At 38.5% G+C, this 13,670-nt stretch overlaps 1 protein-coding gene and 1 long non-coding RNA gene across 2 annotated transcripts in view; one reads left to right on the top strand and one right to left on the bottom strand.

Annotated features, from left to right (window-relative positions):
* The window catches only part of LOC105378040 (uncharacterized), a 39,913-nt gene extending 31,448 nt beyond the window's left edge, over nt 1–8,465 (top strand). Inside the window, exons 2-4 of the long non-coding RNA XR_943093.2 lie at nt 2,682–2,827; nt 4,358–4,409; nt 8,388–8,465. This is a non-coding gene — a long non-coding RNA (uncharacterized LOC105378040). The remainder of the gene's footprint in view (nt 1–2,681; nt 2,828–4,357; nt 4,410–8,387) is intronic.
* The window catches only part of ADGB (androglobin), a 216,491-nt gene that overhangs the window by 75,757 nt on the left and 127,064 nt on the right, over nt 1–13,670 (bottom strand). The window contains exons 19-23 of the mRNA NM_024694.4: nt 13,509–13,623; nt 10,965–11,132; nt 6,451–6,586; nt 5,676–5,813; nt 3,115–3,208 (exon numbers count right to left, since the gene is read on the bottom strand). Of these exons, the coding sequence (NP_078970.3) occupies nt 3,115–3,208; nt 5,676–5,813; nt 6,451–6,586; nt 10,965–11,132; nt 13,509–13,623 (651 nt within the window). The remainder of the gene's footprint in view (nt 1–3,114; nt 3,209–5,675; nt 5,814–6,450; nt 6,587–10,964; nt 11,133–13,508; nt 13,624–13,670) is intronic.

The raw sequence follows: 13,670 nt of genomic DNA, 5'->3' as shown, positions 1-13,670 counted from the left end.
AATGGTTCTCTTTTAGAGGTCTAGACAGAGCCAGAGGTGTTCTTGTCTTCCAGAAGGCAGATGTTTTCATCGATTGTCAGTGGAAAGCAAAGCCATGGTGGTCCTCATGGAAGACAAAAGTCACATACTCCATTTTATCATTGGTTTTTGTTGATCATAGGCTTTTGGTAGGAGGAAACTAACAGGATTATACTTGGAAGGGGTTTGAAAGGCCTTTTAAAATGGTGACAAAGACAAATAATAGGGTAACCATCTATCCTGGTTTGCCTGGGATAGCTGTGGTTTATACTTACAGTCCTAATTATTAACTATTTATTACAGTCCTAATTATTACAGGCCTAATTATTAACAGTTCTCCATCTTTTCTTGTCAATGTCCTAGTTTGGATGATCAATGGTATGATAATTCTAAGTAGGAGCTATAAAGTGCAGGTCTGTCAATGCATGACACCCCTGTAAATCACACAGGGCTGGCCTAATCTATACAAGGATGTTGGCTCAACCAACATGGGAATTAAGCTGGTCACAGTGGGAATTGACTGTAACAGGACCTGCCACCATTCTAAAATAAGAGTGTGATTTCCAGTCTTCCCAGACTGTCACTGTTCCCCTTAAACATTCTACCCGTTTAATGAATGTAGGGCCATCAAAATCCTGATGAGCTATATAGAATATTTTGAATGACCCAGGGTGATATACCTGACTGAGTTGGAAGATTTAGTCTTAATTAAGAATTAGTTTCAATTTAGTCAGATTTTTATCTGATACGATGCCCTCATAGGGGAGTTTGTTTTTTAGACATCATTTGCAAGAAAATTGGGTGCAAGATCTCACCCACAGATTTTCCTATGATAGGCCCCACAATGCAGAAGCAACTTGTATAAGAGGGTCTGTTCTCTCTGTGTGCGTCCACACAATTGGATTGAATTGTTAAGATGAAATGGGATTCGGCCGGGCGCAGTGGCTCACGCCTGTAATCCCAGGTAATCCCAGCACTTTGGGAGGCGGAGGCAGGTGGATCACGAGGTCAGGAGATCGAGACCATCCTGGCTAACACGGTGAAACCCCGTCTTTACTAAAAATACAAAAAATTAGCTGGGCATGGTGGTAGCACCTGTAGTCCCAGCTACTAGGGAGGCTGAGGCAGGAGAATGGCGTGAACCCAGGAGGTGGAGCTCGCAGTGAGCCCAGATCGTGCCACTGCACTCCAGCCTGGGTGACACAGCGAGACTCCATCTAAAAAAAAAAAAAAAAAAAAAAAAAAAAAAGATGAAATGGGATTCGAATGGGATTCAATCTTAAGACTAAATCATAAATTGGTAAACTCAGTCTTCCCCAAATTGACTTGGGGGAAGTTCTTCCCCTTCAGAGTTGAGAATGAAAGGCTAGGCTTCAGAACCTCAAAGTTCCACATGTAGTAGTAATGACAATACCAATGTTTACAGTGGCTACTTTTCTGTAATAATTCAATATGTGGCATTGTGCTAAGTACTTTTCCTGTCTACCTTAATTTATCTTTACAGATTTATGAGGGAATAGTACTATACAGTAGATATCCCTATGCTACATATAAAAATTAAGTTTAGAGAGGATAAGAATCTTATCTTAGATAACAATAATTAGTAGAGCTGGGGTTAGCTTCAGGTCTTGTGTCAAATTACGTGTTCTTAACCATAAAATTAATGCCTGCTAGGATAAGGTAGCTTTGGATGCCACTGGCATTTGAGTTTAAATAACAGACTTTTTGGTTTTATCTGTCCAAGAAATGTGTATGTAGAACTCAAAGCATTGAAAGAGCATGGCCTCTGTATCAGATATGAGCTGAGATTCCATGAAATGGTCTTGGCTGTAGTGGAAAGATCACATGGAGAAGAACAACAATCCCCTGAAGGTATTATGCTAGTGTTACACCTCCCTGGTGTACTGATCCTATTCCCTAATAGGGACACTCACTTTTTAGCACATCATTTTCATGAAAATTAGGTGTAGGATCTGACCTAGAGATCTCCTCCTGGTAGCCCCAAAATACAAAAGCAGGTTGGAAAAGAGGGTTTGTGCTCCTTATGTGCATTCATACAATTAAAACTTTAGGCAAAAGTGTAGCCCTTTTAGGAAATGGGTTCTGGAGTAAAGGTTAATCAAGTAATCTGCATGGGGTCTGTAGAGTCTCTTGAAAATGTAAATTGATGTCTTTTATCAGTTTTGGAAAGTTCTCACCTGTTATCTTTGTACCTTCTGTCACTCCAATTACTTACACACTAAGATTTCTGAGAATACCCCACAAGTCCCTTACGCTATTTTCCATTCATTTTCTCTTAGCTTCACTTGGGATACTTTTTATTGACATATTACCCAGTTCACTAAACTCTTCTTCTACTATGCCTAATCTGTGGTTAAATTCATCAATGAGTTCCTAATTTTGGTTATTAAAATGTTCATTGACGTACTTTCCATTTGTCTGTGTTTTATTAAATTCTCAAACTTTTCATCTATTTTCTCTTTTTTATTATTTATTTTCTTGCTCATTTTCATAACAGTCATGTTTAGAGGTTTTTTTTTTCTGCCACCTCTGAAATCTACATCACCAGAGGGTATGGTTCCACATATTTTCCATAATGTATGGTGTGTATATATATTGGCGGGGAGGTGAGTGGGTGTGTAATTTTTTTCTGTTTTTTTCAGGTTAGCTTGACTGTTGGACATGAGTTATGGCTAGAATGCAGTTTTTTTAAGGTTCGATCTACCTCTGCCTTGTCCCTGTTTAGAAAGTGTTGTCCTCCAAGGATTTCATCTGACTATTTGTTGACTGGGATCTCATCCGCTACCAGGTCCTAAACTTTAATTTTTGTCTTCTCAGTACCGTAAGATTTAAGGAAACTTTGTTCTGCTCCTAGAGGTTTTCTGCTTAGAATTTTAGTTATGTGCAATTAAAACATAAACAAAAAGTAGCAAGTACCATAGAAATGTTTCAGATAAAATATTGTGGAAGGTCCGAAGTAATGGTGTGGTTCTAGCTGCAGTGACTGGGGCGCTCTCAACAAATATGGTAGTATTCAAACTGGACTTTGACAAAAGGACAATATACTGCAATAAAAATATCATTTGACTGCTTTACCTTAAGAGAGAAACTGCATACTGTTCTAAATTCATTTCCAATACAGCCCAAACTTTTTGAAGAGTATCTGCAACACTGATATTTTCTTTTGTGTCTAAAAATAATAATAAATAATAAAAACGTTAAGCTTTAAGATGCCTGAAAGATCATCTTGTCCAAAGCCTTCATTTTCACAAATGAAGTTGAAACTCACAAGTAAGATGGTATTCAAAGTCATAGGCTTCATTAGCAGAAAACTCAGGTTTAAAATATGAGCTACAAACTTCTAGTCAAGAGCTCTGCTCACCGTGTTATGCTGTTTCCCTTCATCTTTAATTTAAAGTTTTAGAATATTGCTTGACCTAATTTAAGATAGTCATCAAAGTGTTTACATAAGGAGACCTCTGTCACACTAAAACTTTTTTTGTGACAGATCTTATCTCAGAAAAAGTAATCCATCCAATTTTTGTAAAGAAAAATGGCTAATAGGATTTTATTAGATCTCAATCTACTGCATTATCTGCAAATGGTTTAAAAGTAGATAATTTGCCAAGAAAATGTGAATCCTTATTAACAGCCTCAAATTTACTGTATCAGAAACTAACATTCTTTTTCTAATTATCCTATCTTAATTTCTTCATAGTATTTACCAGCATCTGAAATTGATATCTTCATATATTTACTTGTCTATTATATGCTTACTCTCACTAGAATACAAGATTCATCAGAGTAGAAACCTTGTCTGTTTCATTGACTGCTATAAGGCCAAAATATGTAACATTGCCATGCAATCAAGAGTTATTCAATAAATATATGTTGAGTGAAAAAAATGCAAACACCATTTAAAAAACATTTTGAATAGTTGAACACAAACTCTATGAAGTACATTACTAAATTGCCCATATTTTCAGTCTCTAAAAAGGGAAGTAAAATCATTATATGTAAATTTTTACAACATATATGGACAATAAAAGCATATTTTACCATATGCATGGTTTGAATATATTTCCCTAACTTTATGTGTTAGAAACTTAATTCCCAAAGTAACAGCATTGAGAAGTGGAACCTTTAAGAGGTGATTAGCTCATGAGGGCTATGCCCTTATGAATGAATTAATGTGATTATCGAAAGAGTGTGTTAGTTATCTCAGAAGTGGCTTCCTGATAAAAAGATGAGTTCTGGCTCTCTCTATCCCTCCTTTATCTCTCTCTCTCTCTTTCATGAATGTGCTCTCTCGCCCTGCCACCTTCCTCATGGGATAAAGGCTCTGTCCAGATGCAAACCCCTTGATTTTGGATTTTCCAGCCTTCAGAACTGTAAGAAATACATCTCTGTTCTTTATAAATAACCCAGTCTTTGGTATTCCATTATAGCAGCACAAAATGAAGCAAGACATCCTATATTGAGTTTGACGAATGCATATGTTTTGTAATGAGGAAAAAACCCATTGAATTAGACAACTATCATTAAACTATGTAATTTAGGGTTTTTAAACCATTGTGTATCTGACGTTTTTACTGCTTAAACATTTTAAATATTATCATTAAATGTTTTAAATAGATTCTTTTTTTTTTACAAGAAAGTTTTTCAATATATGTAAAGAATTCTATTGGAGGTAAGGCTTCTCCTATCAAAATGTCAGCAAAAACCACAGAATGAAAATAATTGAATATATATTTTTTGTTTTTTGTTTTTTTGAGACAAGATCTCACCCTGTCGCCCAGGCTAGAGTGCAGTGGTGTGATCTTGGCTCAGGCTCGCTGCAACCACCACCTCCTGGGTTCAAGTAATCCTCCCACCTCTGCCTTCCAAGTAGCTGGGACTACAGGCACATGCCACCATGCCTGGCTAATTTTTATATTTTTTGTAGAGACATGGTTTCCCCATGTTGCCCAGGCTGGTGTTGAACTCCAGAGCTCAAGCAATCTGCCCCCCTCAGCCTCCCAAAGTGCTTGAATATAAGTTTTGCATCTGCCATGTTTTATTTTAAGCTGATAAAACTGGCCTATTGGCAAAAAGATTTTATTTCATATACATAGATGTATCTGATTTAATAAATTTAAGAACACACTTAACATGCATTTTATGCCTTCTAGATGTGTGTCACTATGGACATACATAGTGGCTTCTTTATTATGCATTAGTTTATTCATTCACTTAATTATTCACTCATTTGTTTGAAAAATCATCTGGAAATGTGAAAATATCTATGACTTAGCTGAGGCTGACTGAGGTAGCACAGGTGCTAGCTACTTGGGATATATACAGAAAAAGACCAGTTCCCTGTTTTAAAAGAACTTGCAATAGATTGGGAAAACAAAGCTGATAATGCATTCATTTTTTCACTCATTCTTTCAGCAAGTATTTATTGTGTGCTTATGATGCACCAGGCACTGTGCCAATCCTGGGAACAAGACACTTGGTGCATTGGACATGCTTCCTGATTTCAAATAATTTCATTATTTAGAGGACTGAAATTAATTAGCCATAAAGTGGGGGACTCCAAAATACTTTCATTAACACACATAAATATTTATTCTTATACAAACAAGTTCATTTTATAAATGTTTGGACAATCATACCTGGTATTCTGGCTTTCATAAGCAATCTAACGTAAGTTCCTCTCCACATGGCTTGAATTTTAATTGCTGCTGCTACTTCCTCAGCAGAATACTCTTTATCACTTGTGGGCATACAATATTTAACGTCCAGCCATTCCACTGGAAAGGGAAAAACAAACTTTGGACTGAAAGTTATATTTAATCCCTTCCCTAAGTTTCAACGCCTTCAGCTGCCAAAGCCCTCCAACATATAAAATTCTACATTGCAAGAGTTAGCATCATATTTAATATTGCCGGCTCTAGGTGGTTCTTGTTAGAATGTAAATATTCTGCAGGAGGGAAAACACACAAAATAGGGACATATTGGTGAACTACTATTGATTCCTGTGTGAATATAGCCAGAGATTTTTCTCAAAAATAAAAGACATGTTAAAATGATGAGAGCAGAGCATGGGAAGAAGAGAGAAAAGTAGGGTTACTTGAGTCAGAGGATCTTGCCAGAATTCTTCAAATCAAACCATATAGATTAGTGACTTCCATATTTTTAAGGTTAGGAGTAAATAAAACAGGGAAATTCTCCCCTGTAAGACACTCCCCTAGAAGTATATGTGGTGGGGATTAGGGGTAGGGGATCCCCAGCAGGTCCTTGGAGCCCCTTGAGCTCTTAGAGCACTGCTTGAACTCCATGACAGTCCACACAGACTTATTCCACTTACTCCACAAACACATTTCTTAAATTATTTACCTTACTTAAAACTAGGAATTCCTTGATTAAATATATACAATTCATGGGTACCTAAAGAAACCTCTTCCAAGGAGGAATTGAGTAACTCCAAGTCCAAAACCATAGCCCGGAATGCAAATTTGAAGTTTGGAGGAGGTTTTGTTATTTGAACTTTTTTCATTAAACGCCATAAGGAAAGATGAAAAACCTGAAACACATAAATTTTTTTTATAGCAAGAAAATACCATCATCTGGCCAGAGAAGCTCTAAAAAATTTTTAGATACTCTAAAAATAAAAAATAAAAACCATTTCTCAGATGTACACGCAACCTAACAGAAGATTCTTTGAAGTCTCACCTGCCCAGTAAGAGACCAAAATTATCATTTGATTATTTCTAATTTAACAAAATGTAATCACTACAACGTTTATAATATAGACTCAATGAAAATACAGCATTAAACTGGTAGAGGAGGTAAAGAATAAGGTAAAAAAAATAGCATTATCCTTCTGCTTAAGCAAGTTAAATAGCTTATTTTATTGATTCTAAGATGCCATCCATTGTAAGACACACTATTATTTCATATGCTACATAAAATGAAAATATGTTTCTTAGAGTTTTTTTAATCACTTAATAGTAGTACTAACCTCATATTGAAAAAACTTTTAGACTTATTTAAACAAAGCTTTTTCATCATATGTCACATAGTTGTGTAATTATCTAAGTATAAAATGGAGATTTTTTTTTTTTACCAAAATAGCTTCCTTTTGCATAAGTGATTCATTCACCAAGACCCCTTACATATTAAATCAGGGCCAGCTACATTGAGCCCGTGAGGAGTAATCTTGGTAGCATGAAATGGTGAACCAACCACCTGGGCTCTCTTTCATCCAGGCTCAGTCATCTAACCTACCCGCAGCAGAAACTGACTCTGGTCTTTGATATGGTATAGTCCCCTGAGAAGTCCAGTCAGTTACTTGGTGGCAAATTGCTTTCAGTGGACTAGACTTCCATTAGGTGGGTCACCGATTCCTTACAAGAATTGACTCCTGCTTCAGCTATGAGTTTGCTTTCTGTGTCCTTGGTACCTCGGCCAGCATCCAAGAGGTTATAGAAAATCTGGTTTATAAACATGGGATTCAGCTAACATACCCGTGGATCAAGAGTTGCATTATAAAGATTTAATCACTGAGAATAGTCTGGAACATGTTGGTCCTAATATATACCATACATAGAATTGATAAAATTCCTGGTAGATTGCAATGACACATAGGAGGCTCGGTTAAAAAGCCAGCCTGGAGATGTCACTTGAAGTACGTACATATGGAACCAAAGACCAATATCTGGTGCTGTATCTGCATAGTTAAAACACACAGGCCTGAGATTCAAAAGTTGCAAGTAAGATTGGCCTCTCTCCCCATCATCTGACATGACCCATTTGCAGACTCCGTGCCCGATTCCCCCACAATAACGGGTTTGCTAGATTTCAGAACACATTTCTTGAGGGAAGAAAACAAGGGATAATTCCACCAGGGAATATGGTATTATTTACAATAAAACTAAACTATGACATATGTGTGGTTGCTTTGGGCCTCTCATCTTGGTGGATAAGCAGAAAAAAAGGAGTTAATATAACACGGTAGGAGGAGAATTCACATTGATTATCATGAGGTATTAGGGTTTCTGCTACATTGAGGGAGCAGGGAGAATTTAGTCTGAAACTTGCTGGGACACTTTTTAATGCTTCCATGGTAAATGAGTAATTGCAGCAACCATGGCTTGGCTACAGTAAGGTAGCCAAGATCCTGCACCCATCAGGATGGAGAGTCTGGATCACTCACCAGGTAAACAACTAGAACTGGCTGCAAAACAAGGCCATCTAGAATGGGTGGTAGAGGAGACAGGTGTTGAATACGGATTGCGGCCTCAAGGCCAGTGGTAGCTGTAGAGACTATAGCTTTTTTTTTTTTTGTCATATGGTGATTTAATTATTTATTTGTTTAATTTTAGACCTTGTGACCAGCTACCAACTTGAAGAATGGATAAGAGTTTACTTAAGGGTGGGGGCACTATCAGACTTGTTCTACAGGTGAATTATGGCAAATATTTCTTGTATATTACTCTCATGCTGTAGGTGAGTAGTTCTCAACTGGGGTTGATCTGCGCCTCAGGCAGCATTGCCAGTTAAATACATTACACTGTAAGGGGAAGTACAAATTAAAAAGTAAGGGGCTTAATCACTCCCTACGAAAAATAAGGAAAGAGGTTGCTCCCCCACATCCTTTGCCTTAGAGCATTTACATTTAGGACACTTGTAATGATAAGTTATCTCTCTCTGTTCCTCTCTCTCTCTCTCAGAAATGTATGTAAATCTTATTTATTTATTTTTGAGATGGAGTTTTGCTCCTGTTGCCCAGGCTGGAGTGCAATGGCGTGATCTCAGCTTACTGCAACCTCTGCCTCCCGGGTTCAAGCAATTCTCCTGCCTCAGCCTCCCAAGTAGCTGGGATTACAGGTGCCCACCACCACACCTGGCTAATTTTTCTATCTTTAGTAGAGATGGAGTTTCACCACGTTGGCCAGTACATCTTTCTAAAAAGCTAAATAAGCCTCTTGCCCATTTAATAGCCCAGGAATGTTTTTGTCCAGGACCTGAGTACCATTTATTTGAAATGTTAATCATCATGGAAGATAGCACCAGTATTTCCAAGTTTCTTTGGGAGAGTAGGAGACTACCATTGGTAGGTACCTTGCTGATATGAAGGTGTTACAATTGTATTTTTCTTTTAGACAAAGCTAATTACCTAACACAGATGGTCACCCCTATACCAAGTGAATTTGGGATGAAATATGTTGTGTGGCAAGAGGTGATATGGAGTCTTTTCCTTGAAGACTACATATTGCTTATCTTGATGGTATGTGTGAAATGGGCTGTATCTGCTTGGGGTAAGATTTTTTGTTTGTTTTTGTCTTTGCAATCTCTTAGCAGATTGTCTGTGATGTGCACCATCTTCTGGCTTAAACTTCATTCAACAGTAAATTGTTTTCCTTTTCTTCTGCCTTGTGAACAGGTCATCTAGGTTGGGAGATTTTATTTCTAGTTATATTTCCTCAAGAACCCCAAGCACCCAGTCAAGTTTGAATAATGGATAAAATAAATTTTTATATAAGTAATTTTATAAGTAATTATGTAAGTAATTTTAGAAGTATACTAGGACAGTAGTATACTTCTGTCCTAAATATTGCACATATGGTTTGTTTACACGCAAAATAGAATTTAACTGGGTGTCCTGTATTTGTATTTGCTAAATCTGGCAATGCTACCCCTCCCTGCAGGGGCATCTAGCAATGTCTGAAGTCTTTTTCAGTTGTCACAACTGGAATCTACAGGTGTTTAAAGGGTGGAGACCAGAGATGCTATTAAACATCCTACAGGGCATTACAAACGAACTGCAGAAATACAAAGAATCATAAGAATCTACTATGTAAAATGATATGCCAACAAGTTGGATAACCCAGAAGAAAAGGACAAATTCCTAGACATATACAGGTAATATTAAATTAGTAATAACAAGTATCCCATGTTGGCCAGGCGCAATGCTGATGCCTCTAACCCCAGAACTTTGGGAGGCTAAGCCAGGAGGATTGCTTGAAGCCAGGAGCTGAAGACCACCATAGGCAATATAGTGAGACCCCATCTCTTCAATTTTTGTTTGTTTATTTTTAATTAGCCAGGTGTGGTGGTGCATGCCTGTAGTCCTAGCCTCTTGGGAGGGTAAGACAGGAGGATCACTTGAGCCCAGGAGTTCAGGCTGCAATGACCTATGATCATGCTGCTGCAAGCCAGCCTGGGTGACAGAGCAAGACCCCATCTCTTGAAAAAAGAGAAAGTCTCCCATCAAATAAAAGTACATGACCTGACGGCTTTTCTGCTGAATTTTACAAAACATTTAAAGAAGAACTAATACAAATCTTTCTAAATCTCTTCCAAATAAAATTGAAGAAGAGAGAATAATAATTATTTGACCCAAAATGTCAATAGTGTGAGTGTTAAAAAGCCAGACCTAAGCCCACCTGGTTTTAGTGCAGCTGCAGTGGACAGGTCCATATGTGCCTTGTGAAGGGGTTACCAGGAAGTCTCTTTGCTTCACCCCCTCAAGGCTGCCTGTGAAGCTAGAATGCTGCTCAGCCTGGCAGAGGCACACGTTGTAAGTGTGAGGAAGTCAAAGCCCTTGAGAGCAACCACCTAACAGTGGGGAAAAGAGTTGGTGGAGAAGCACCACCATCTTGCCCTCCTTGAGTGGGAACTTTTAAAGGGATGTCCCACATAGTTCCTCAGGACACCCTGCATAGCTGATTTCCAGTAAGCCACAGCAGTAGTTGTCATGTCCTTTAATCAATTTCTTTCTCTTTCTCATTTCATTCTTTTTACTCCCTCATTTCTGCTTTCTGAAATCACTTCCCAAATATATTATCTCCATCCAAAATATTTTCTCTGGCTCTGATTTGGGAGGTCACCTAATGGAAGATATACCATTTTGAAAAGAAAGTTTCCTCTTCTGAACATTGTATCCCAAACAAGCTTACCCTGAAGTGCTGTGCAGTTAGTTCTTTATCATGGAAGGGGACAGGGTAGTGAGCTGTTTGCAGATCCTTCAAAGCTGCAGAGAGTTTACCCTTATCTTTGAAATTAGCAATCACATTTCCAATAGCTTTCATAATCAACAGAGACTGTTCCGTAAATCGGCAGCTCTCCTGTGAAGACAAAGCATGGCAGCCATCCTCACTCATCCTTAAGTGTCATCTAGTTTATACAAATTAATATCTGTTAAAATATGAAATCTCTGCTATATGATTCAATAATTCTTTATAGAGGATTTGATATCAAGGTAGCTTTACTAAATTCTGTAGTCTCAGAAAAAACAAGGAACGCAATTCTTACCTGAGTGGGAACCTGTAGGAGGAATATTCATCTCATATTGGGGATCACGTAAAATTTCCCCCACCGTATTAATAACCAGACCTAGTTCTGAGGACATTTAGGATTAGTCTGACAAAAAACTGTGTGGAGTTTGAGGACTGACGAACAGAGATTTCAGGGAGAAAGCCAGAAAGATAAAGACAAGAGGGTGACCTAGCATGGGCTGGTGGCTCTCTCCTGCTATCAACTCTTAAAAAAAATCATAAAGCAAGAAGGAGACAGGAATTTCAGGAAGTAACTAATTTTTAAAAACTGGAGAAAACTGTGAGGTGTTTGGAGCTGTTGTGGTTGGTGTACGGTGGGTGGTCCTGGAGTTGCCTGGAAGCAGCATGAAAAAAGTAAAATTGGAAAAAACAAAACAAAACAAAACAACTTTTTTCCCCTTAGAGGGCACCATGGTGCAATCATGATTCCCGATTCTCTCCTGAAATTTTGAGGAATGGCCCAGCAAGTGCACCTGAAGCACAGATGCCTTGCTAGGGTGAGAAACTGATGGAAGCAGATGCAACTGACTCGTTACTGGAACACACTGACTTAGAATCCTCACAAAGCCTACAGAAAGTTTCATCTCAGTGGTGTTTCTCCCTAAGGTGAAACCATGCCCAGAAAAGTTCTCTGGTCAAATATTAGATAGGATCAATTATGGTTCTAAGTAGCATTAGTCTCTCTGCCCTTGGGTCAGTCTATTCTCTTTTGCTTCTTGGACTTGAGCTCCAACAATCTTTTCAACATCAGGAAGTAATATCTCCAGGGAAATGTGAGCTCACAGACCAAAATAAATAAACACCTGGGGAGATAAATTATCTAAAGGAAGACAACAAACTGACAATGTATACCATATAAAGCAGAATTATTTTCTTAAAAAGACAACTTGAAATAAGCAAGATAAACATAGTTAGGGAAATAAGTGACATCTGTGTCTAAAATGAACTTGCTGATCTGTGTGATCTTGCTGTGGCTGTTGAGCAAGAGAGAAAGAGAGCTAGTGAGAGATGGCACAGCAAACAGAGGAGGCAGCCCTGGGAACTCTTGCACAGCCACTGCTCAGACAAGGAAGAATGCATGAGTGTGACATGTGTGGGGGCAATCTGCTTGCCACGAAATTTGCTGGCTGGCTTAGAGAATCCCATCAATACAAGGTTGTGCTATTTGGAATTTTTTTTTTTTTTTGGTAGGAAAGGGTTAGAGCTGAGAAAGCATCAGGAATTATGCAGTGGGAAGGCTGTCTGCAAATATTGTCCCAAATGCATGTGTACAAAGGACATCTAAAACCAAGGGAAGATTTTAGGGGACATACTGGTCCCATTGACCTCATCTCTTCTTTCAGACCCCGTCAGAACAGAAGAGCAAGAGAAACCAAGGAGAAGAGACCAAGAAGAATGAGAAGAGATGAAGGTGAAGAGACAGAACCTTCTGAGCTACTCCTTCCCTGCTAAATCCCAGGCACATGCTCCAGATTCCTTAGGCAAAGGAAGAAATGAAAGGAGAGAAAGAGACCAAAATTTTAAACTCTATTAAAAAGGACTGCACTGATATTTATACCCCAAAGAACCAATGATGCCATGGGATCTAACTAAGATATTAACAGATATGAAAAGAGATTCAACAGAGTAGAGGTGAGAGCAGTTGTTAGAGAAAAGTATACATATTTCACTTGTATACCTACAGGGTTCAGACTTCATTATAGACTTCATGGTTGCATGTGGGGATTTCTTGCAGAGTATACTTAATAGTTTTAAAAGGTAAAAAAAGTAAGTTGAGTATAAAATAAAAATGTGTTTAGTTCAAAATCTTTGAAAATAAAGCACATAAAAATTGCAGTTGTGGCTGGGTGCGGTGGCTCATGCCTGTGATCCCAGCACTTTGGGAGGCTGAGGTGGGCAGATCACAAGGTCAGGAGTTTGAGACTAGCCTGGCCAACATAGTGAAACCCCGTCTCTAATAAAAATACAAAAAAATCTGCAGGGTGTGGTGGCACGCACCTGTAATCCCAGCTACTTGGGGGGCTGAGGCAAGGAGAATTGCTTGAACCTGGAAGGCAGAGGTTGCAGTGAGCCAAGATCATGCCACTGCACTCCAGCCCTGGCAACAGTGCGAGACTCCATCTCTAAATAAATAAATAAATAACTTGCTGTTGCAAAAATACTTACTGGTTCAAAGTTGGGCAGTACAACGTGTTCATCCCCAATGACAAATGACACCATGCTGCAGATGTGTATGGAGTGTCCTACTGGGGAGTATGCGTTGAAGAGTAGCATGTGTCTCCTAAAGAGAAGGGATGCCGGATGATAACCGAGTGCTTCCTGGGTGGT

This window comes from Homo sapiens, chromosome 6, assembly GCF_000001405.40.
Source record: "Homo sapiens chromosome 6, GRCh38.p14 Primary Assembly".
Lineage (NCBI taxonomy): Eukaryota > Metazoa > Chordata > Mammalia > Primates > Hominidae > Homo > Homo sapiens.
This window is presented reverse-complemented; position numbering and strand designations above follow the sequence as displayed.